Here is a 24673-nt window from a genome sequence, read left to right on the forward strand (position 1 = left end):
ATATTCATACAATGGAATGCTACTCAGCAAGAAAAAGGCATGAACTGTGATAGAGGGAGGTAACATAATTATGTTCAATGAAAGAAGCCTTTTTTTTTTTTTGAGACGGAGTCTTGCTCTGTCACCCAGGCTGCAGTGCAATGGCTCGATCTCCGCTCACTGCAAGCTCTCTGCCTCCCGGGTTCAAGCCATTCTCCTGCCTCAGCCTCCTGCATAGCTGGCACTACAGGCGCTCGCCAACACGTTTGGCTAATTTTTTGTATTTTTACTAGGGACGGGGTTTCACCGTGTTAACCAGGATGGTCTGGATCTGACCTCGTGATCAGCCGGTCTTGGCCTTCCGAAGTGCTGGGATTACAGGCGTGAGCCACCGCGCCCGGCCGAAAGAAGCCTTAAAAGAGAAAGCGCGGTGTATCAAAACTCACTAAATGCCACATCTAAGATTTATGCATTTCTCAATGTGTATATTTTACTTTAAAATACTCATAACCAAATATTAAACTCTAGATGGTGATATACATGTGTCAGGGTTTAGGGGTTGAGTGTACAGAGGTCTGCACCTTCTTTTGAAATGTATCTAAAAATAAGATAGATTGATGGATGGGTTGAGGGATGACAAGGTGTGTGATAAAGCTAGGAAAATCCTAGTTGCACAATTTAGGTAGTGGAATTGTGGGTATTCACTGTACAATTCTTGTAGCTTCTCTGTGTATTTGAAGATGTTTGTAATACAGGTTGGAATAAATATGCTCAAGTGGAGGATGCAAGTTGCAGTAGCATGAAGGGAAGATAATTATGATTTATCACCCTTTGTTACACAGTGCTATTTTGTTTATCTTCTTTAAAATTCCATTAAAACCCACCACAGGAGCCTTTGCAATGTAGCTGATTTATCAAATTCAGAAGAATACTTCCAGCGTCTCTGACTCATTTGATCACCTGGATACCTTTGAGTTAATCTTCCAGCCACAGCTCTGATTCTCCCCTTTTGACTGTGATCATCCTGAAGGTGTTTCCCTCAATGCTGAGTGCTTGGAGCCGCTTTAGAATTGCTTTCACTCTCTGTTAATTTGGAGAACAAAGAATCAATAAGTAGAAGGAGATTGGGAAATTAGTGATCGGGGACGGTGCAGAGTTCATAAATAATTTAAAATATACAGAGTTCTGGCTTTTCAACAGAGATTTTAATAAAAGATGAACAAGGTCATCTTCTTCCTTCTGATGAAAGTTACCCATCTGTAGTGCCATGGCGGATGCTGTGTACAAGAGCTGAAATGGTGGTTCCTGTTAACTTTGAGAGCTTTGGACAAAAATGCCAGATACATCCTTCTAGATAGCAATATCAGGCGAGCCTTTGAGTGGGGAGGGGAAGTTATAAACCACTGTAGAGAATCACAGAGTGAACCGAGGACAGAGATTGGATCAACACTCCATTCCTTTTCTGTTTTCTTGGAATGAAGTCAGAGCAACATTGTTTTCATTTTTGTTTGCAGTGAACCTAATTTTTGAACTGATCTATGTAGTAATAAGCACAGGAAAGGAAAAGTGGAAGAAAGGAGATTCAGCACATTAGCTAGTGAGGTCTTGCGTGATAACGAAGACAACACAAGCCTGAGCCCTCCTGGCTAGTGAGGTTGGCTCTGCCTGCCTTTGCCCATCCCACCACCTTCTCCCGTGCTGAGCCTTTCCCAGCCAGACAGTGTTTTGAGGGGCCTTTACTACCCCTCTCCCTGCCAGCCCCAGCCTAGCTGTAATCACCCATCTGGAAGGCGTGTTTTCCTGGCATTTACCTCCCATTATATGGCACTTCACTTGGGAAGTGCTCCAACAGAGGCACTCTGCTGTATCCCAAGAAGCCCTCAATGGCATTACCGTAATTCTGTTTATATGACGCACCCCCAAATTCTTGAGCTGTGGCTGTGACAGAATCAGTAATTGGAAATAGAATTTCTGTGATAGTCACTGAGTTCCCCCAAGTATTAGGCCTGGGAGTGGACTTGTCCAGGTGGTATCCGTGGGATTGTGTAGGGGCAAACAGCGATGGATACCCTGTTGATATACTGAGAGATGCTAAGAAATCCAAAGCATTCCAGTGACAGCGAACATTGCATTGATAGAATAGGGATGTAAGAAGGCTGATTAATTGCCACATTTGATAAAGGGTTGGAGAGGGGATGAAGGGGGAAGAACGTGTGTGTGTGCATGCACGCTAAGGAGTACCACGATAGTTTGTGTGTTTCTTCCATTGTTTTCAGCCCTGGATAAAGAGGGCCCACCTGTCTCCAAATCCCTGGTAGCAGGCAGAGCTCAGTACAGTAGGCTATATTGGGTATAGGGCATCTATGAGGCAAAGACCATATCTCACTCACATCCGGGTCTTGAGGTCCTGACATTGAGAGTGTGCCCTGGAAAGAGCACCGAAGGTTAGTGAGGGCAGCTGCGTCTGAGCACTGGTGCTGATGCTGGTGGGATGGACTACAGAGTCTGTCCCCACTACCTTTGGAAGAGCTACCCAATTAAAACTGAGTTGGTGGAGGTATTCCCACTGTGTCTCCCACACCTTCTCTCGAGGGTTCAGATATGTCGCGTTCTGACTTCCCAGCAGCCTGCATCATGCCTCTTGTCTCCAGCACTTCCCTCACTGTGTTCTTGCTCTACTGAGTACTCTCAGCTGTGTGGTTGCTTTAGGACCCAAGCGGTGCTGTTCCCTCCCCTAGGAAGATGTGCTCTTCTGGGATTTGGGAGCATTCATGACATCGTTCTCTGTACCACCCTACAAGCATCCCTTTCCCTACCAGGTTTGTAATATAGTCAACTTTTAGGGAGGGGGACATGTGTTCATTTATTGTTTTATTAATTATTAAGTGCCCTTGCTGTGTTGGGAATAGACAAGGAATTTGCCGAAACTATAATCCATAACCACCCAGATTTCTATTAGACCTTCATGTTCATTTACAGATAGGACTTAATTTTCTTAATCAGTTACCAATTGTTGGGTGACTGGTTCCCTGTTAATGTATGGTTGGGTGAGTGGGCCAGCTGGGTATACAGAGGTTCAGGGTATTCAATGCAGAAAGGACCTGAAGATCCATGGAGGTCATGTGGTCCAACTTTCTGCCTTCAGAGGAGGAGTGTGTGTGGGGTGCACATCTGAGAAAATTTACAGACTAGGCTGGGGTGGGGATAAAGGAGAGTCTTATCTGTAGGTCTGCTGCTTTGGGTTTCTTTAGATTAGCTTAGAAGCTGGAAACTGGCCAACGAAATGCACAGAATTGCTGGAATTCTGGAGAAGAGTTTGCACCTTACTCTGTACTTTCTAATTAAAAGGGGGACCCCTCAGAGGTGATTCCGATTCTGGACTCCCACTGGTGTAGTGTGGCAGGTTGAGTTTGCCGCCCCGGGCACATCCCCTCATGGTCAGAGGGATGAAGAGGAGGGGGTGAATGTCAGGTTCCAGAAAAGCCTGCTCTAAAGTCATTTCCTGGTCATGCTGATCTGGAAATAGCTGAGAACTGTGATTGAGACCCAAGTTTTGCCCCCAAAGCTAGCTTTATATATGGTTGTAGCAGTCAGGACCTACCAGATGGAGGGGACCTGTGGGATAGGGATAACAGGTGCCGTGTGCATTGGCACACAGGAGGGCAAGAGGGGAGAGAGGGAAAGGCTGCGAGGGGAAATGGAGAGAGAAAGGAGGCTCTTAGGAAAATCCCTGGAGGAGGGAAGACTTCTAACCTGAGCCGAGGCCCTGAGCCAGTTCCTCTGATTTTTTTTTTAAAGTCAAACATGGATAAAGTCACACTCAGGTGTCACTGTGAGGGGAAAGGTGGAGAAAAGTGACTGTGGTTTCAGTTTCAGCTTTAGCCACCATCTTGGCTTATGATGTTAGATCAGTTCTTGCCTCTCTCTGAGCCTCAATTTACCTATCTATATTTTATTAGTTGAGGAATCCTGAATTGTAACATGAAATGGTTGTATGTTTCCAATCTCTGCTTTTACCTGTGCCTTGTTGGATCTCCCTCTCCCCTTCCTAGATGACCTCTTGGGCAGACTTCCCATTTTCAGTTAACGAAACGTCAGTGTTTTCATCTGATTTAAGACTCCTTCTTGCTCCTGCCTTGCCACTGTAGTAAGGGGGCGTGGGCTGCTCTCCCTACCTCTCAGCTCTGACTCCTCCATTAGTGAGAAGGAGGCAGAGGGATAGGAGCAAGTACCTTTATGCTTAACTGGGCACAAGAGATGTTTTCTTCCTGGTTGGTTTTTGCAGCTTCTCTAGCTGAAACTGGCCAGGCAGCAGCACCCTTGGTCTGACAGGCATCTACGTGCAGATTCCTGCTGAAATTCTGTGGAGACCTCTCCACCTCACAGGTCCCAATAGGGATTTGTGGCTCTGGTTCAGCCACTCTGATCCCTGCTGCACAGCCTCTGGTTGCTAGAGTAACCTTGCATGGTGGCCAGTTCCCCTGGGTGAGATCCCAGAGAGAGCTCAAGCCTAGCCACCCTGTGGGGCCCACTTAACTTGCAGGAAGCTCATGGGTCTCTGCCAGGTCAAAAGGTAGCATGGCGACTGTCCTAGCACAGGCGAGCGGAGCAGCGGTTCAGGACTGTAGCCAAAGCTGAGAGTTCCCTGGGGTCTGAGGTGCTAGTTTATCCATCTTGCAAACGTGATTGTCTTGATGATTCTCTTAAGTCCCCGTTTCTTAGATCTAGGAAGGGGACCTCCCTCTAGCTGTTATCCTCTTCCACAAGGCTGCCAACATGCTGATGCTGTGTTCCCTCTCAAGCCTCACTAGCCTGTGGCTGTGGATGGGTGGGGGGTGGGGGATGGTGGAAAAGGGATGGTTGATTATAAAGGGCTGGCTTAGTGAGCCCTGGGCTGGGGAGATGTCTAGTTCCATCTGTTGGTTTCTTAGAAAATGAGGTATTCAGGCCGGGTGTGGTGACTCATGTCTGTAATCCCAGCACTTTGGGAGGCCGAGGTGGGCAGATCACCTGAGGTCAGGAGTTCGAGACCAGCCTGGCCAACATGGTGAAACCCCATCTCTACTAAAAATACAAAAATTAGCCCAGTGTGGTGGTAGGCATCTGTAATCCCAGCTACTCAGGAGGCAGAGGCTGAGGTAGGAGAATCGCTTGAACCTGGGAGGCGGAGGTTGTGGTGGCCCTGAGATCACACCATTGCATTCCAGCCTGGGTGACAGAGCGAGACTCCATCTCAAAAAAAATAAATAAATAAAATAAAATAAAATGAGGTATTCAGTTCTTGTTTTCAGCAGGGAGCCCTGTCTTCTCTAATACCTGGGTAACAGGAAGCAGTCACCCAACTCTCCTTTATGTACAGAATGAAGAATTTTATCATAACCCACACTACTATACCTTAGATACACACATAAGCACAAGTGTCAGATGCAGACCCTGTGCCTTTTATTTGTGTTGTCTTTCTGTGCTTTTGCTGTTCTCTCTGTGGTTATTTGTCAAAGTATGAGGGTAACTTCTTGTGGAAGGACAGATGTTAAGTATTCTTTAAGGCCATTGTAAGCTCCCCATCTTCCAAACCTTAGAGAGTCAACACACACTGTTCTGAGTCTGCTGTGTGCTTACATCAGTGCTGACAGACCAAATTATAGTACTCCCTAACCCAATTCTAAAGGATGAATGCCATGGCACTTAAAGTATTTTGCAGAAACTATTATTTTAACTTATTTTCACAGTGGCTATGGGTTTTTTATAGTCTTGTAGGAACTTTGGTTAAATACAGAGTAAAAACTGAAGCTGCTATGGGAATAATGAGGGATCAGGTCCTTCAAGGTCTTAAAAAAAATCTCTAAGTAGCAGTTTCTTTTGTGCCTGCAATTCTGAATTGCAGTGTGTCCCTCCAGACAAAGCTGAGCGCCATATGTGACTGTGCCTGTTTGTGTTTTCGAAAGCCTCAGCGGTCACTGCCATTTCAGTGCCTGCAAGTCTTGACAGGAAGCAGTGGTAAAAGACTGTCAGAACCTGTTTGTAAAAATGTTTGTGTTTGCAAAGATTTTTGCTAGTATTCCATGCATATCTTAGCTATTAAGCAAAAATATTATACCATTCATCTTAGAAGAAGGAACAAGGCTAGGTAATCACTAGCATTCTCTTTTCTTTTTCTGGCAGAGAACTGAAAGCCAAGAGCATTCTATCTCATGAGCACTACAGGTCTAGGGCAGGGGTGAGCAAACCTTTTCTGTAAAGAATTGAATAGTAAATATTCTAGGCTTTGTGGGCCGTGTGGTTTCTGTCACGGCTACTCAGGTCTGCTGCCACAGAGCAAAAGCAGCCTTAGACAAGAAAACAAACGAGCGTGGTTGTGTGGCAGTAAAGCTTTATTTACGAAAACCTGGCTGGTGGACCAGAGGCCATAATTTGCCAACCCCTGGTTTAGTGAAAAGAACAAGTTTCGAGTTGTCACCGATGGTTGAATTTAGCCCAAGATGGTAGCTTTGCTTGTCTGATTACCTTCATGCCAACCCACATTTTCTCTGGCTGACACTAACCAGGACAGAAGCCTAGGCTGGTCTTCCATTTTCTCTTAAGAAAGTGATCAGTTTATGGGATTGTATGCACTTTACCTCACCCACAGCAGATGTTCAGGAACTGAGTATCCAACATAGGATAAAATACAGAATGAAAGCATCCTTTAACATTGAGATGAGGTTGTGGTGAAGGGGAGGAGTTAGCAGTCTGTCACTGGGGTGACTTTCTGGGGAGCTCTAATCAGTCATGTGTTTCTGCTAGCAGCAGCATCCCCTCCTCATTCCTCATGTGGCATACATTGCAGGTCTTCCTGGCGCAGATGCTTTCTTTGCTCACACACATTCCCTCCCTTCTTTCGTTTTTCTCCCCCCAGCACACAATGCTGCTGCTGCCACACACCATTTCACCCCATGCTGGCCCACAAAGAAGACAGAGGTTGATGACATAGCATGCAACTTCAGAAAGTTCACCACTTTGAGCCCCGATGTATAAATGGTAGCAGTTGGTACTAACTCTGCCAGTGCGTTCAAAAGTCATCATAAGGACAATGTGATATTTATTTAAATACATATTGCATTGCTGACTGACAGTGTATTTGCAGTCATTATCCATTTCTAGAGACAAGTTCATGGCAAGCATGGTAAAAAGCTGGACCTCAGGAGGGAACTGAGGACAAAGTAAGCCCTGATGACTCTCACTGGCCTCCTGCTGCACCTGTCCTTATATTTGACCTGTTAGGTTGGTTACTTTAAAAAGCCAGTTACGGGGAGGCTCATTTAAAAAGACATAACACCTGTGAAAGATTATTTTAACGTGGAATATATGACTGGACAATTATTTGCCAATCTGATGAAGTAGGGCCACAGGTTTTGTTTTCATTATTCTGTATCTACTGATCAGCATATCCACTTGCTTGCACAGGCTACACCTATAATGTCCACAACTTCCAGTTGCCTCTTATGTAACAATAGAACAAGAACATAAAGATACAGAGGAAAGCTGAGAGCAATTCTAAATGTCTATGGTTTTTTCTTTATCTCTTGTTGTTATACATCCATATCTGATTCAACAATAAAACATGTAACATTGCTTATCCAGTACTTCCAATGGATTCAGCCTGGTGTTTTGGAAGAAACAACTCTTTCTTTTGCACTCGTATCTCATTATTTGAGACAGTACTTAATTAATTTAGGTAGTTACTAATCCAACTGACATAAACTTGGGAACCAACCACCAACTCCTGATAAGCAAACAGCTCAACTCTTGGGGAACAAAAACGTGTAAGCTCTTTAGAAATTAACAAGTCATGAGAGTTCAGTATGGCTTGGGCGTTAGTCATTACCTTTTAGCCAGAGGGAACAAAGAATGCCAGTTCAAATGACAAGTTGGTTAAAAGGAAATCTGACAGCTTCTAGAGTGTTGGAAAAGAGGTCAAGACCTGAGCTTCTACCCTCAATGGCTCAAACAGGCATACCTTGGAGATATGGTTGGTTTGGTTCCAGACTACCACAATAAAGCAAATATTTGCAGTAAAGTGAGTCACACAAATGTTTTTGTTTCCCGGTGCATATGAAAGTTATGTCTATACTATACTGTAGTCTGTTAAGTGTCCAATAGCATTATGTCTAAAAAATGCACATACCTTAATTAAAAATACTTTATTACTAAAAATGCTAATGATCATCTGAGCCTTCAGCAGGTCATAATCTTTTTGGTGGTGAGGGGCTTTGCCTTGATGTTGATGGCTGCTGACCGATCACAGTAGTGGTTGCCGAAGAAGGCTGGGGTGGCCGTGGCAATTTCTTAAAACAAGGAAGTTTGCCACATGATAGATTCTTCCTTTCATGAAAGATTTCTCTGTAGCATGGGATGCTGTTTGACCGCATTTTACCCACAGTAGAACTTCTCTCAAAATTGGAGTCAATCCTCTCAAACCCTGCCACTGCTTTATCAACTATGTTTATGTGATATTCTAAACCCTCTGTTTCATTTCAACAGTGTTCACCAGGAGTAGATTCCATATCAGGAAACCACTTTCTTTGCTCATCCATAAGAAGCAACCCCTCATTTATTCAAGTTTTATCTTGAGATTGCAGCAATTCAGTTCTACCTTCAATCTTCACTTCTAATACTTATTCTTTGCTATTTCCACCATGTCTACAGTTGCTTCCTCTACTGAGGTCTTGAACCCCTCAAAGTCATCCATGAGGGTTGGAATCAACTTCTTCCAAACTCCTGTTAATGTTGAAATGTTGACTTTCTTTAATGAATCACAAATGTTCTTAATGACATCCAGAATGGTGAATTCCTCCCAGAGGTTTTCAATTTACTTTGCCCAGATCTGTAAGAGGAATTGCTATCTATGGGAGCTGGAGACTTATGAAATATATTTATTAAATCATAAGGCTTTTCAGAGTCAAAATTACTCTTTGATTCATGGGCTGCAGAATGGATATTAGCAGGCATGAAAACCTTCATCTCCTTGTGCATCTCCATCAGATCAGGTGCATTGTTAGTGAGCAGTAATATTTTGAAAGGAGCTTTTTTCTGAGCAGTAGGTCTCAACAGTGGGCTTGAAATATTCAGTCAGCTGTGCTATAAACAGATGTGCTGTCACTCAGGCTTTGTTTTCCATTTATAGAGCATAGAGTAGATTGAGCATCATTCTTAAGGGCCCTGGGATTTTCAGAATGATAAAGGAGCATTGGCTTCAACTTAGTCACCAGCTGCATTAGCCCCTAACAAGAGAGTCAGCCTGTCCTTTGAAGCTTTGAAGCCAGGCATTCCCCTCTCTAGCTAGAAAAATCGTCGATGGGATCTCCTTACAATAGAAGGCTGTTTTGTCTACATGAAAATCTGTTTAGTGTCACCACCTTCATCAGTGATCTTAGATCGTCTGGAGAACTTGCTGCAGCATCCTCATCAGCACTTACTGCTTCACCTTGTACTTTTATGTTATGGAGATGGCTGCTTTTCTTAAAACTTATGAACTAAGCCCTGCTAGCTTCCAACTTTCTCTGCAGCTTCTTCAGCCTTTATAGAATTTAAGAGAGTTAGGGCCTTGCTCTGGATTAGACTTTGGCACAAGAGAATGGGCTGGTTTGATCTTCTGTCCAGACCCTTAAAACATTTTCTGTATCAGCAATAAGGGTGTTTCACTTTCTTATCATCATTTGTTCATTGGAGTAACACTTCTAATTTCCTTCAAGAACTTTTGCTTTGCATTCACAACTTGGCTAATGGTTTGGTACGAAAGGCCTGGCTTTCAGCCTGTCTCTGCTTTGAACATGCCTCCCTCACTAAGCTTAATCATTTCTAGCTTGTGATTTAAAGTGAGACATATGAGTCTTCCTTTCACTTGAATACTGAGAGGCTGTTGTAGGGTTATTAATTGGTCTAATTTCAATGTTATTGCGTCTCAGGGAATATGGAAGCCCAAGGACAGAGAGAGAGAGATGGAGAACAGCTGGTTGGTGGAGCAGTCAGAACACACACATTTATCAATTTTGTTCACAGTCTTCTATGGGCGCAGTTTGTGATGTCTCCAAACAATTACAATAGTAACATCGAGGATAAGTGATCATAGATCACCGTACCAGATACGATAAAAATGAAACAGTTTGAAATATCACAAGAATTACCAAAATGTGACACAGAGACACAAAGTGAGCACTTAACTGCTGGAAAAATGGTACCAATAGACCCGCTTGTTGCAGCATTGCCACGGATGTTCAGTTTACAAAAAATTGCATTGTCTGTGAAGCTCAATAAAGTGTGAAGTACAATAAAATGAGATATTCCTGTATAATAATAACTATTGTGTGCATACTATGTGCTGACCATTGCACATTATCTCATGTACTCCTTTTAACCGTGCTTTCACTGATTAGAAAACCAAGGCAAGGGCTGGGTGTGGTGGCTCACGCCTGTGATCCCAACACTTTGGGAGGCTAAGGTGGGCAGATTGCTTTGAGCTCAGGAGTTCAAGACCAGCCTAGGCAATGTGGCGTAACCACATTTCTTAAAAAAATATTAGCCTGTGTGGTGGCATGTACTTACGGTCCCGGCTGCTCGGGAGGCGGAGGTTGTAATGAGCTGAGATTGCACCATTACACTCCACCCTGGGGAACAGAGACTCTGTCTTAAAAAACAAAAACAAAAAGGCTGAGTTAGAGAAGAGCAAAGTGCTTGCCCAAGGTTATATAGCTTAGACCGAGTGGGGATTTTGAACTCAGACTGCTTGACTCCATATTTACTGTGCTCTCCAGCTTAGGGCAAACTGGTAGCCGGGAAGTCATCCAGCTCAATTTCAGCTTGCCTCCTCCTGATTTCCTGGATGTCTGGTTTTTAAAAAGTTAATAGCAAACTAGTATAGTGTTGGCTCCACAGACGTGCTTTTCAGAACCCACCTATTTGCCCTTTACTGGTAATCAGGGGTAATCCTGTCCCATATCTGTACCCTGATATGTCTGGGTTGTAAAAAGTGTAAGACTGGATGGTACAGTTAAGCTATTTGTTCTGGATTTGGGTTTTTTAAGTTTGGCATTTGAGCAGAATCACAAGTTGTAGAAAGTAGTAATTTCCAGACATTTGAGATCTGATTCACCAACATTACTGTAATTAAAGAAAAACCTATATTTGTTTGCTCCGTTTTGTCTCACTAGGATGTTTTATAAATAATAAACCTAGACATTTAGAAAATAGCATCTATTCAGCTGGTTAAGCTTTCGTGGCCCTTCATGTTCAGATGTCTCAAGGTGATATGAGTGTGCCTCAATTTATAGGGAGTGACTATGGATGGTGAACTATATTGACATATAAAGGCAGCTTTAAAATACAGACTACAGAAATCAAGTGGCTTGACAATTCCCTTAGAACATATGTTTATGAAGTATAGAGCTCAAATGTAATGATTTCAGTTGGTTACAGAGTATTAATGAATTTTGAATTGAGGCAATTGTGATCAAGCTTGTTGCCTTTTCTAACATGAATCATTATTAAAATGATGATTGTCCTCCATAGTTATGAAAGCATTAAAAAAGCATCTACCTATGCCTGAATTAACGGGACAGATGTGGTTTTCAGCTTTCACCTGGCCAACAGGACTTCCATGGTTGTGATTTCAAGGTGCTTGTTTATGTATATGGTTTTGCTGGTATTTTCTGAGTCTTCAATACCATTTCTTGTAATAGGGTGTGAATGGGTGTGTGTGTGCTTGCTAGTATGTCCCCTTGGTCCTTAGCATTGTGGGAATGTAAAGTGAAGCTGAGTAGGATGTCTCAATGTCCTAGAATCCTCCAGCCTTTGGTTTTTAAGAGGTACCCCTGTGCGAGAGCTCGTGGAGGCCCTTCTGTGTAACATTCACAACACAACCACCACATTCAGTGACAGCAGGTGCTGAGTGCAAACCGTGTGCCAGGCATTTCCCACCATCAGTATCAATCCTCAATTCCAGAAAGTTGGTACTGTTGTGACCATTGAGAGGATGAGGAGACCGTTGCTTGGAGACTTTCAGTGCCTTGCCTAGGGCCACACGATGGAAAAGAGCAGAACCAGGAATTGGACTGCTCTTCACCATCCTCATGGCTGCCTGGAGGGCAGGCAGTCTTGGGCTTCCTTAAAAGATTTTTGTTTTGGGAGGGCTCTTCACTGTCTCAAGAAAGCTGAGGGAAGAATTCGTCTCATTTAGTGGATGAGGATACAAAAACATATGTTAAAAATTACAGCCTCGGGCTCTGTGGACCCTGTTCAGGTGCCAGAGGGCTTTTCTCCTATATTGAGCACCTTTGCCACAAAGAAGCTAGAGGAGGAACCCTCCCCCGATTTCACCTTGTGAGTTACAGGTGTCTGACAGCCCTGTTCTTAGCTAAGAAGTGTGTGTGCACCTGACTGCAAACAGCCGCCATGCCTGCTGGAGGACACATGTGACACACAGTTTCTGGGGACCCTCCTGGGCCTACAGACTGCAGTCTCGGGTGGGTACCCATGGCCCAGGACTTCACATTCCTCACACTGCCCTGCCCTGCTTCTCTTCTGTCTGACCTGATGCCCCAGGCTTAGGGTGGGGAGGGGATGCTGGTGGGTGGGTTGTCATTTTCCTGTCCCAGTCAGGTATTTTGTATTGTTTCTCAATGAGCCATTTCCCATCTGGATTTGGGGGGGATCAGGGAAGATGGGTGGGTTATGAGTTAGTTTGCTGGGCATCTTCCCTTTTTTCTCTGTCCAGCTCCCAGGTGTTTGAGGCTTTTTCCTGCCTCCAGGTGCTCCAAATGTGGGGGCTGCCCTTTCTCTATCTGGGTTTCAGCCTCTCCAGCTCCTGCAAGACAGTGCTGTTGGATCTCTGTAGTGCCTCTTGGTTTGGCCACTCTGGGATTTGTGAGTCATAGTCTTCAGTTTGGTGCTTTTTCCTACTCCATCCTGCCTTCTGCTATTCATGCCCCATTGCAAGAACAGGCATTCTTCCTTCCCGTATAAACTTGCAACCTGGTTCCACCCATTCTCCTCTCTTCTTCTCCAGATAGTCGTAGAGATCGCTGCCTCCCAAAATAGCCCCATTTGATTCCTTAGGACAGGCAGGAAACTCGCTGCCCGACCCTGCCTGAGTCTCCGTTTCCTTAGCTGGAGAGACTGTCCTTGCTCTAGAAACCAACCACCGGAAATTCACCTCCATCCCTATCACTTCCTGGGGTAGTTCTTTCTGACCATTGGGTTTGCTTCTTGGGTGTCTGGCTCTGCATACAGTTAGAAGCTCTTTAAATACCTTTTAACTTCAGGGTTTTTGTGGATGTGTATATGGTGGAGGGAGAGAGTGTATACCAGTGAGCATGAGAGCAAGAGTTACTATTTATCACAACTGGTGTCCAGGGGTGGCTAAAGATTATCGACTTCTAGAGTTGTGTTTTTCAACTTTTTTTTTAAATCTTAGTGAGCAGTAATAAATACATTGTAACTCTCAAGCACACATAAATGTCATCTGAAACACGTTTGAAAAATATATGCGATTTATTTGTTTTTTGAGATGGAGTCTTGTGCTGTCACCCAGGGTGCAGTGCAGTGGTGCAATCTCGGCTCACTGCAACCACGGCCTCCTGGGTTCAAACAATTCTCCTGCCTCAGCCTCCTGAGTAGTTGGGACTACAGGTGTGCGCCACCACGCCCGGCTAATTTTTTTGTATTTTTAGTAGAGAAGGGGTTTCACCCTGTTGGCCAAGCTGGTCTCAAACTCCTGACCTCAAGCAGTCCGGCCTGCCTTGGCCCCCACGAAGTGCTGGGATTACAGGCATTAGCCACTGCGCCTGGCCGAAAACTATATACTCTTATATTCTGATATTTCCTGTGCAATGTGATATTTTCCATACAATTTTATTTCATTTTTCAAAAATTGCTGGATACAAAGCACTGAATTAATTTCATATGTATTTTATTTAAACAATCCTCTCTCCTCCATTACAGTATACATTTCATGGAGACAGGAATTCCATGTTATTCTACTTCCTATAATTGATGCTTAATACCTATTGTCAACTGATTCTTTTCTCTGTGCAGATCCTCTGGAGAAATATTTTGTTCTGTGCCAAGAAACAGTTTCATTCAACGGTTAAGGTGACTTGTGTCACTGATCTGATTTCCTTCTTTTACATTAACTATCAAAAATCTCAGACTTATTAATAAAGACATGTCTTCACAGGATACATCTTTACAATGGTCTTATTTTTATTTTATTTTCCTCGCTCTTTTTTTTTCATTTTACCTTATTCTTCTGTCCTAAATATTTAAAGTTTCAGCTGATTTTAAAGTAAAAGATGCTCAATGGGAAAAGCTCACACAAATCAGAGCTACCTAAAAGTAGAGTTGGAAAGTCCCAAGGATCTTTTTCTCTGAGGCAAGCCTCTTTGCTTCTGGGTGCTTGCCCTGCAGACTGGCTTATGAAGAGGTCACCATCTTTTCAGATTCCAGGGGCCTGTAATGTTCATACCACTGCAGTATTCGTATTACACACTGTAATAATCTGGAATAATAAGATCGTAGGCACTCTTTCTTGCCCTCACATGTGGATCTGCCTTCTCCTTTTAAACAGCCATGTAACGTTCCCTTTCTCACCTACTTTGAATTTTTATATTCTTGCTGCTCTAAGGTTTTTTTTTTGGAGCAAGGAAAGCAATTTAAAACATAAAATTTACTTTCAAAAGAAGAGTAGAGATAATTAACCAGCCCTTGCCACCTAACTCAATATAATCCCCTAGTAACTCCTCTTGGAGCCACCAGGTTCCCTGGGAGTGGAATTGCCTGTGGAAAGGCCTGTGTGGGTTCTGAGCTTGGGAAATGGTGACGGAGCCCTCTCTCTAGCCTCTGGGAGGTGTCAAATAATGGATGAGAGTGACCTTGGACTGGCAAGAGCAGGTCAGTGCAAGTGACATGGGTTTCTTAGATACTCCTCAGCTCAGTGTGGGTCTCCCGAGACTCAGTTCTGCCTGCTGACTTGCTCATTCATTTCCATTGCAGGGCTGCAGTTGGGTCATGCCTGGTTTTTTGGCCTCCCAATGTCTCTTAATTAACTTAATATTACTTGGTAATACTAAAGCAATGATGAATTATGTGCATGGAGTCATTAATCTTCTGTGTAAATATCTCAAACGCTGTGTCTTAATTATAGACTCCATACTTAAAATATTTTAAAGCTTCTATTCATATATTTACTTAGAAAGGTATGATCCGTGTTTCTATGGTGTCGGCACACTCAGTGGGAAAATGGTGTCCATACATTGGAGACGTTCGTATGAAAGAGTAGTTTCTCTGATGAGATGAGTGCTGCCTGTTCTCCACTGACCCACAGACATTCTTAGCCTTAGCAATGAATGGAGTTGGGGTAAGATTGGGCCTGGGGATCTGGGCCCTCTTTCACCTTCTGACTGTTCTGTCTATAGCAAACCATAGAGAGTTTTTCTGGACAGTCCAGGAAGGTGTAAGAGCAGCTTTAGATGAGGCAGCTGTCTCCCTCATAGCAGAGCCAGCCCTAAGCCAGGGCAGGGCCTCCTCCGGGAAGAATTGTGCACCTCCTTCAGGGTCATCAGTGAGTTAGGTACATTGTGAGTATACTAACTTAGTATTTAGCAGTTACTCTGCACCGGGCACCATGCTGTTCCTGGGTGGTGGCTGGTGGCTGGGGCAGGGCAGTGAGTGTTACATAGACTAGACACAGCAGTAATAGCCAATGTTCCATGAGAACTTGCCATGGGGTTTGCCACACGAAGACACTGGCTCTTGTTTACATAGGCTGCCTCATTTGCACTTACCAACAAACCTGGGTAGCTTCTGGTGTCTGTATTCTCATTTTACAGTGAAGAAGCTGCAGTGAGGAGGGGTAAAGTCACTTGCCCAAGTCTGCATAGCTAATAAGTGGCAGAGCCAGAACCTGAGCCCACTGTCCAAGGTGAAGGTGCTTCCTAGCATGGTGGCCACCTCTAGGTAGGAGCTCAGCTGTGCCACCCACTGGGACAGATACACTCCCAACAGCTGTGATTGGGTAGGGTGGCTCCACCTCCCAGATGGGTCCTCGGTTTGCTGAGTGTTGGTTGGATAACTTGACTAACTTTCTCAGCAGTCCTTTGAGCAGCTGAGGTCATACTTAGATGTGACTTACGTGAGACAACAGAGGAGTCCAGGTGAGAGCTGGCAGGCATGGGACCAGGGTGGAGTTGTAGTTTTCCCCACCAGGTGGGTGGAGCCAGGTCTCTTCAAACCAGAGGGCACAATTGCTGTTTGTATTGTTCACGTTGACTGTAGCAAAAATAACTCAGTGCCTGTGAACCTCATCTGTGAAATGTAAATAACCCCTTCTCTGCCTATTTGTTTTTTGAGACGGAGTCTTGCTCTGTTGTGTAGGCCAGAGTTCAAGACCAGCCTGACCAACATGGTGAAACCCTGTCTCTACTAAAAATACAAAAATTCTCCACCTATCTTACTCTGTAGCTTGGGAAATCACCGAGATAAGAGGTTGGAAAGTGATAACTGTCCAGGCATGCAAGTAGTATGTTTATAGGAACATGACTGAGCAACAGGGAAATGAGATTTCTCTCTCTCTCTCTTTTTTTTTTTTTGGAGATGGAGTCTCGCTCTGTCAACCAGGCTACAGTGCAGTGGCACAATCTCGGCTCACTGCAACTTCCGCCTCCTGGGTTCAAGTGATTCTCCTGTGTCAGCCTCCTGAGTAGATGGGACTACAGGTGCATGCCACCATGCCCAGCTAATTTTTTGTATTTTTAGTAGAGATGGGGTTTCACCATGTTAGCTAGGATGGCCTCCATCTCCTGACCTCATGATCCACCCACCTCAGCCTCCCAAAGTGCTGGGATTACAGGTGTGAGCCACCGCGCCCGGCTGAGATTTCATTTTTAACTCAGACGTCAATCAACGTAGCCATATACAGATTTGAAAAGCTTTTCTTTATCTCTGTTAATGGAGAAAAAGAATGACTGCTTTCTTGTCAAAATGAAAGTGTTCAGTTTTAAACTTAACCAGTTCCTGCCATTTTGAAATGTTCACTCATTTCTTACTTTTTTTTTTTTTTTTTTTTTTGACACAGAGTCTCGCTCTCACCCAGGTTGGAGTGCAGCAGTGCTATCTCGGCTCACTGCAACCTCTGCCTCCCGGGTTCAAACAATTCTCATGCCTCAGCCTCCCAAGTAGCTGGGATTACAGACTCGTGCCACCATACTCAGCTAATTTTTGTATTTTTAGTAGAGATAGGTTTCACCGTGTTTGGCCAGGCTGGTCTTGAACTCATGATCTCAGGTGATCCACCTGCTTCGGCCTCCCAAAGTGCTGGGTTTACAGCCGTGAGCCACTGTGCCCAGCCACCATTTCTTACTTTTTGGCAAAGGAAGTAGACATATTGGAGGGTTGACCTGAACTCCATAGATTCCCAGGGAGACAGTGTATGACTTTGATCAGCCCATGTAGGGCACATTCCCATTGCCATCCAATTTTACCTGAGCCATTGGGATGGGATGCAAAGGCCTGACATGGTTTAGAAATAAAGCATAACTCTGCAGTGCCAACTAGGATGGGGTAAATGGGATTCTGGCCTGGGTGACAACTAAGACAAGATTGCTGGCCCAGGTGCTGAGAAATGTAGCCCGAGATAATGGTTCTGTTTCTCCTTTTGTGTAGAGATGGGATCTTGGAATCTAGTGAGGTGAAGTACCCAGCTCTCTGCTTTGGTACTGTGAGGGGATTCTGCAGAGGTAGATGGAATATGGTTTTTGTCCTCAAGGCACTGACAAGCTGCAAATGATACGAGACAGTGTATCAATAGGTTCACCTTCCCAACCCTTCTCTGCTCTTGTACTTGGTTGGTGCTCAATTGTTTGTTGATATGATTTACCTTCATGATGACATGTCAAAACATGTGATATAATTTTTAGCTCTGGATGGCAAACAGTTTCAACTTGGATGCCAACTCTACCCAGTGGGTGCTGCCTGAATGGCAAAACATGTGACACTGCCTCAGGGTGCCAGGAGAAAGAGTGCCGTCTGATGACCAGTGGGAATGTCTGTTATGGCCGGGGGATGGGGGTTAGAAGCAGCAGGCATGTGGTGGTCATTGGTTCATCCTAAGTACATTAGGCTTTCAAAAGGGGAAAAATGATGCTCAGAGGAAATGAAACTCCTTAGTCTTCCCTTAAAGGGTGAAGCAGGATTTAGACAAACAGGAGTGCTTTCAGTCTTGGAAAAGAGCAGACGTGAAGACCGTACCTTCCAGTGAGTATGCAGATATGTGGGAGGCTGTGGGAGCTGAGGGACTGGAGGCACGTGGAGGAGGAAGGGGCATCAGGAGGGGCAGGGGCACTGTCCTCGCTGGACCCATGACAGACGTCAGTTGGTTGTTGGTAGGTTGAGTGTAGACAGATTGCAGAGGTCCTCGGGGATGCCAGATGGAGGAATTTAGATGTGATGCAGTCCTGTGCTTCTCAAGAAGCCTTCCCAGATGCTCCGGACACGATTAGCTGCTCCATCCTCTCCGCCCCAAAGGAGACTCCTAGTACTCTGCTTGAGCTTGGATTCTTGTCTGCTGTCCTGAAATGTTTATATATTATCTGCCATCCTCCTTGAGGATATGAACAGTGTTGTAGCCATCTTTGAATCCCCAGTGCTCAGGATCATGCCTGGTATGGAGCAGATAACCAGTGAGTGGTGTTGAATTGAGCTGAAATAGGGTCCCTGAACTGCCAGGCGAGATGGGATGGAAGTGGGCAGTGCCTTAGAGGTGAAGCTGGGTGCGGAAGTGGGAGGCTGCCAAGCATAGAATGTACCCTCTGCCAAGGGAGCTCAGAGTCCATGTCCCTGGGATGCACGGGATGGGAAGGAAGGCAAGTCTGAAGCGTCAAGTTTACAAGAGTGTGCACAGCACAGGAAACCAGTTGAAATTGAAGATGGCAACAGAGAACGGAAAAGATTGAAGGAGGGAATTTGGAAAGCTGAGCCTAGATGAATTCCCAGAGGCAGTGACTTATAGGGCTCGGAGGCCCTGTGTATAGGGAACCACCGCTGAACCTGTGGGTCAGAGGGAGTCATCAAAGATGTTGTCTCTTGAGAAATGAGGAGCTACTGAAGATTCTCTCTCTCAGATACCTCAACATTTTAGAGACATGGAGTGATCCTACAGCCCATTGTATTAATATTTAGGTGGGACTCCTTCATTTGCAGGTGACAAAAACTGAACCCAAACTAGCTTAATTTGGTGGCTTTTATAACTGAAAAGCCCAAATGGGGAGGGGAGGGGAGAGAAGGGAATTTTTGACTTCAGGCTCAACTTGATCCAGGGATGCATACAGTGGCCTCAGGGCCAGGTGCCTGCTTCTGAGTTTCGCTGGCTGGCTGGCTGACTGGCACACTTTCTCTTCATTTTTTGGCTTGGCTTCCCTTGGTGGGTGTTAGCTCTTCATCTCTATGTCCCCCTGGCAACTCTAGGCTTGTGGTCTCTCAGGGCTGAATCCAGCCAACAAAAGAACTTCTTACCTAGTTACCCCAGGGAAAGCTCCCAGACTTGCTCTCTTCGGACCCGGTTGGTGTGGGTTGGAGCTTATGCCTATCCCCGAACCAATAACCTTGGCTGCATGCCAACTCTTATTGCCCCTGGGATGAGAGCAGGAATGGAGCAGTTCCTGGGGGAAGGTCAGGGTGCTGTTACCCTTGGAGTTTTGCTGGGTGGCAAGGCCATCATTACTGCCCCATCCAGGCTAACTGTTGTAGTCTTGGCAGCAAAGCAGAAGCTGCCTTTGCTCTGCCGGTGAGGAGGAGAGCTCCCTGCCAGCCTCTGCCGCCCCAGGCATGCTGCTGCCCTCTTCCCACAGACCGCATGTCCTTGAAGCTGGGCTCCGTAGAGTGGTCCACCAGGTCACCCTGCTGGCCACCTCCATTTGTCATCCCTGGGCACATTCTAGACAGCATCTTGGGCCAGGGCCTTGCCCCACCTGGGTGATTGTGGGGTCACTGAACTGTCGTGGGATCTCAGGAGAAACCTCTTCAGAGAGTCTGCATCCACAGGGAGAAGTGTATTCACACTTCCCACAGGCTGGGGAGCTGTCTCACCTATCCTTAGTCAGGGCGAGCCTTCCATTGTGAGGTGCTTTATAGTTTGCACAGCTCTATCCAACTTGTTACTTAATCTGGCTTTTACCATAACACTGGTGGGCAAGGCAAAGCAAGAATGATTGTCCCTGTTTTATGGATGAAAGAACTGGGAATCAGGAGGGGTAAATGTCTCAAACGGGGCAACACAGCTGTCGAGACTAGCATTAGACTTGGGGGACACAAATGTCACATAAAATGTGTACTTTTAAACCGAAGGTGAAGAAAGATGAGGGCAAACAGACTACTGTAGCCAGTTTCTTCATGTAAATGTGGTGTTAAATTACCCATTGTTGTTCCTCTAAGTGCATACTTCATTAATACCTGCAGGGGAAAAAATGACCTCTATTTACAGCCAAGCATCTCTGAGCCGACGCCTGCCTGCCCACCAGCCTCCTGTGGTTTACCCACCAAAATTTTACTAGAGGTTGAATCGGCTTGTAGAAGCTGTGTGATAGCGCTGCGGCTCCCCTGGGTCACCTCCTGAAACGTGTAGGGTCGTGAGTGGGAGGGTGTCTCAGCAAGCCCAGCCTGAATGTGCACGATGGCCTCAATCGACCCAGCCACTTGAAAAAGCAGCCGCTGCTCTCGGTTCTTGCTGTTCTTGCTTGGTCAGCTCTTCCCTGGGGTCTCTGCGCCCTCACAGAGCCTCCCTGTGAAGCCTGTCCTTGGAGACTTTGCTCACCAGGTCATAGACAATTGTTGTTTTCCAACTGGAAGAGATCATCTGATTTAGTCTGTTCATTTCACACATGAGAAACGAAGACCAAACCCCGTACCGTGGCACCTGGGGCCCTTTGTGTCTGCCCTCCACTGTGTCCCTGCAGCCTGTCCCTTCCCTTCCCACCTGTCCTCATACCTTGTGCTTCAGCCATGTGGACTGCTCTTCGCCCTGAACAGCTTGCCTTCGTGCAGGCTCCTCTTCTGGATGGAACACCCTGCCTGGAGCAGGGAGGGCCATGATGAGGGAGCAGGTGGCTGTGCTGAGCCTTTCCCTGACATGCACTCATGGATGTTTTCCTGGAACAGAGCAAAACCAGGGGGCGCTGGTATCATAGAACTTCTTAGTGGGAAGGGACATTTAATAATAGTTGGTCAAAACCTCTCATTTTGCCCATTTATTTATTCATTTATAAATGCGGAATATCTATTTTTGTGACAGGCCTTGGGAATGCAATGATGCATGAAATAGAAATGATCTCTGGCTTTAAAGGAATGATAATTTATTAGGGGAGACAAATATTAAAGAGGCAATTTTTAAAAATTGACAAATAGCTACATAATTAGGGTGTACAACATGATGTTTTGATATATGCATACACTGCGGAATGGCTAAATTAAACTAATTAACATATCTATTACCTCACATGCTTATTTTTTTGTGGTGAGAAAATTTAAAATGCAGTCTTAGCAATTTTCAAGTATGCAATACATTGTTGTAACTATAGCCACTATGTTGTACAATAGATCTCCTGAACTTACTCTTTCTAGCTTTTGTATACTTTGAAATTTTTTATATGTTGATCAACATCTCCCCAATCTTCCTGACCCCCACCTCTGGTAATCATCATTCTTCTCTCTGCTTCTGTGCGTTCAGTGTTTTTAGACTCCTCATATAAGTGAGATCATGCAGTATTTGCCTTTCTGTGCCTGGCTTATTTAGCTTAGCATAGTGTCCTCTAGGTTCACCCATGTTATTGCAAATGACAGGATTTCCTTCTTTTTAAAGGCTAAATAGTATTTCATTGTGTATCTATACCACATTTTCTTTACCCATTCATCCATTGATGAACATGGAGGTTAATTCCATGTCTTAGCTATTGTGAATAATGTTATGAAGAACATGGGCGTGGCAGACATTTCTTTGACATACTGATTTCATTTCCTTTGTATATACATTCCCAGAAGTGGGATCACTGCATTATATGGTAGTTCCACTCTTAATTTTTTGAGGACCCTCTGTAACTGTTTTCCATAGTGGCAGTACTAATTTACACTCCTATCAACAGTGTACAAAGCTTCCCTCTTCTCCATATCTTTGCCAACACTTATCACTTGTCTTTTTGACAATAGCCATTCCAATGAATGTGAGGTGATGGCTCATTGTGGTTTTAATTTATATTTCCTTGATGATTAGTGATGTTGAGCACTTTTTCATGTATCTTTTGGCTATTTGTATGTCTTCTTTTGAGAAATGTCCGTTCAGGTCCTTTGCCCATTTTAAAGTCAGATTGTTTTCTTGCTATTGAGTTGTTTGAGTTCCTTATCTATTTTTGATATTAACCCTTTATCAGATGAATGGTTTAAAAATATTTTCTCCCATTTCATAGGTTGTCTCTTTATTCTGGTGGTTTTCCCTTTGTTGTGTGTAAGCGTTTTAGTTAGATGCCATCCCATATGTTTATTTTGGCTTATGTTGCCTGTGCTTACAGACTCATATCTCAAAAATCTTTGCCCTGTCTAATGTCAAGAAGCTTTTACTCTGTTTTTCTGTAGTACTTTCACTGTTTTAGGTCTTAATGTTTAAGTCTTTGATCCATTTTGAGCTGATTTTTGTATATGGGGTGAGAGAAGGGTCTGATTTCATTCCTCTGCATGTGGATGTCCAGTTTTACCGTACCCCTTATTGAAGAGACTGTCCTTTCCCCACTCTGTATTCTTGGCACCTCTGTCAAAGATCAGTTGACCATAAATGCCTGGATTTATTTCTTGGCTTTCTGTTAAAGAGGTAATTTTTTAAAATTTAAATTTCTATTGTGAATTACGGCTGTGGAAAAGTATAATGGGCTTTGACAGCATGTAACAGCAGGCTCTAATTTTGTCTGGGAGGTCAGTAAAGGTTTTGCTGAGAAAGTGTCATTTAAGCTGAGCCTTGAAGGGCAAGCAGAGTGTAGTCTGATGAGAAAGAGGGTTGGGGAGACTGTTTTAGAAAGAAGGGAACAGGATGTGGAATGGTTCCACTGTGGCCCAGGGCCACAGCATGAATCAGTGGCTGAGTTGGGACTAGCAGAAATCAGATCTATGGCTCCAAGCCCTGTGTTCCTTGCATTCAACCCCGCTGGGTGCGTTTTTGGCCCTGTATCACAGAGCTCTATGCTTATTCATCTAAAGAGGGAAGTTCATGTCCATGGGGCAGGCACCCTTGGTGGATAAAGCAGGGACGGCAAAGACATGGAGGTGGGAAGGTGGCTGGCATGTGTGGGAGGGAGCAGGTTGGCCCATGACTTGGAGTGAAGCACTCTGACAGAGGAGAGGTGGGAAAGTTGGAAGAGGAATCTAGGCAAGGATGAAAGGATGAGATCCTTAACCAAGAAGCTGCAGGTTGGGATAGCAGGGGAGGCCAGGTGAGATATTGAGATCAGCTGTTGTCCTAGCAGTTTGACTCTTTATTTCAGGCTTGTTCTAAAAAGGGTTTATGGTAACTTAGATACATACATATGTATCCTGTTTTTTGTTTTTGTTTTTTAAATACATATGCTAGGATCATAAAACCTCATGCTGTAATAGCCTCTACATGTCTAGATCTATAGCTTTATTCCTTTCGGTTTTTTTCTTCTCTGCTTTCTAGTAGCACCTATGAGTGCCTTACATATGTCTGATGCTACAGTTAAAGACACAAAGAGAGGGCCCCTTTCAATAGAGAATCCAGGACTGCAGGGCACAGAAGGAATGGAAGGTGTCAGTGGGAGAGGGGGACTTCTGGCAGAGTATAAGCCAGAAAGCCTTCCCAAAGCCTTGGGGCACATGGGTGGAAGAGCAAAACAGAGAAGTGACTCTTACCTGGCTGCATCAAGCCTCTGTTCACCTTTTGACAGCAGCTTGGGAGCTCTGTGAGGACAGGGTTCTGGCTTTGCTGAGAAGGATGCAGGTGCTCGGGGATAGATGGATAGACAGATGGACAAGTATTCATGCCACAGCACTAATAAGAGGATTCTTAAAATAGGAAAGGAAAGTACCAAGTCTAATGAAGGATTTTGGCATCTCCCACCTCCTGCTAGTTGACAGTTTCTGTTTCTCAAGATTCTGTACAGCATTAACTGGTTTGGAGATTATTAACTAGTTTAGAGACTACTGATTTAGAGCCTCTCCTGTTGGTGAAATTTCACTGTTTAAAGAAGACACATCAGGTTTTAGAATTAGATTTCAGCCTTTGTTTCTCTAGTGGCTTGAGTTCTCGTGGGCGGGGTAGGGGGAGGGAGTGGGGGGACATCCGTCCATATACAGGGTAGTTTCTGGACGTTGTTTTCTAAAGGAAGGTTTGACTGGCCCTGCCTACTCAGGATCTCCTGCCAGGGAGAAGAAATCCCTGCTGGTGGGTGACTGAGTGCCACAGGTGTGACTCTGCCTGGCACACAGAGGGGGATGAGATGCAAGAATCATTTACTCTTTCCCTGTACCTGGGGAAGGGCTGTTAAGGTACAGCTCCTGCTCAGGCCTTTTATACCAGGGACGCCTCATTTCATGTATGGTTCTAGAGGGTTCCTGCTGGCCCCTTCTTCTGCCATCCCAGTCTTTCATCCTTGACAGTGCTTCTTCCTCTGTG

The 24673-nt window shown here is 44.8% G+C and overlaps 1 protein-coding gene and 1 long non-coding RNA gene across 22 annotated transcripts in view; one reads left to right on the forward strand and one right to left on the reverse strand.

The window, feature by feature from the left end:
* CACNA1D (calcium voltage-gated channel subunit alpha1 D) overlaps positions 1-24673 on the forward strand; it is a 319123-nt gene that overhangs the window by 128195 nt on the left and 166255 nt on the right. The gene's annotated exons all lie outside the window — the stretch shown is intronic.
* On the reverse strand, positions 16592-24026 carry LOC124906242 (uncharacterized). Its single transcript, XR_007095913.1, has 3 exons — positions 23911-24026; positions 20990-21150; positions 16592-20843 (listed from the first exon to the last, which is right to left on the reverse strand). It is a non-coding gene; the product is annotated as an uncharacterized LOC124906242 (long non-coding RNA).

The sequence above is a fragment of the Homo sapiens genome, chromosome 3 (assembly GCF_000001405.40).
Source record: "Homo sapiens chromosome 3, GRCh38.p14 Primary Assembly".
In the NCBI taxonomy this organism is placed as follows: Eukaryota; Metazoa; Chordata; class Mammalia; order Primates; family Hominidae; genus Homo; species Homo sapiens.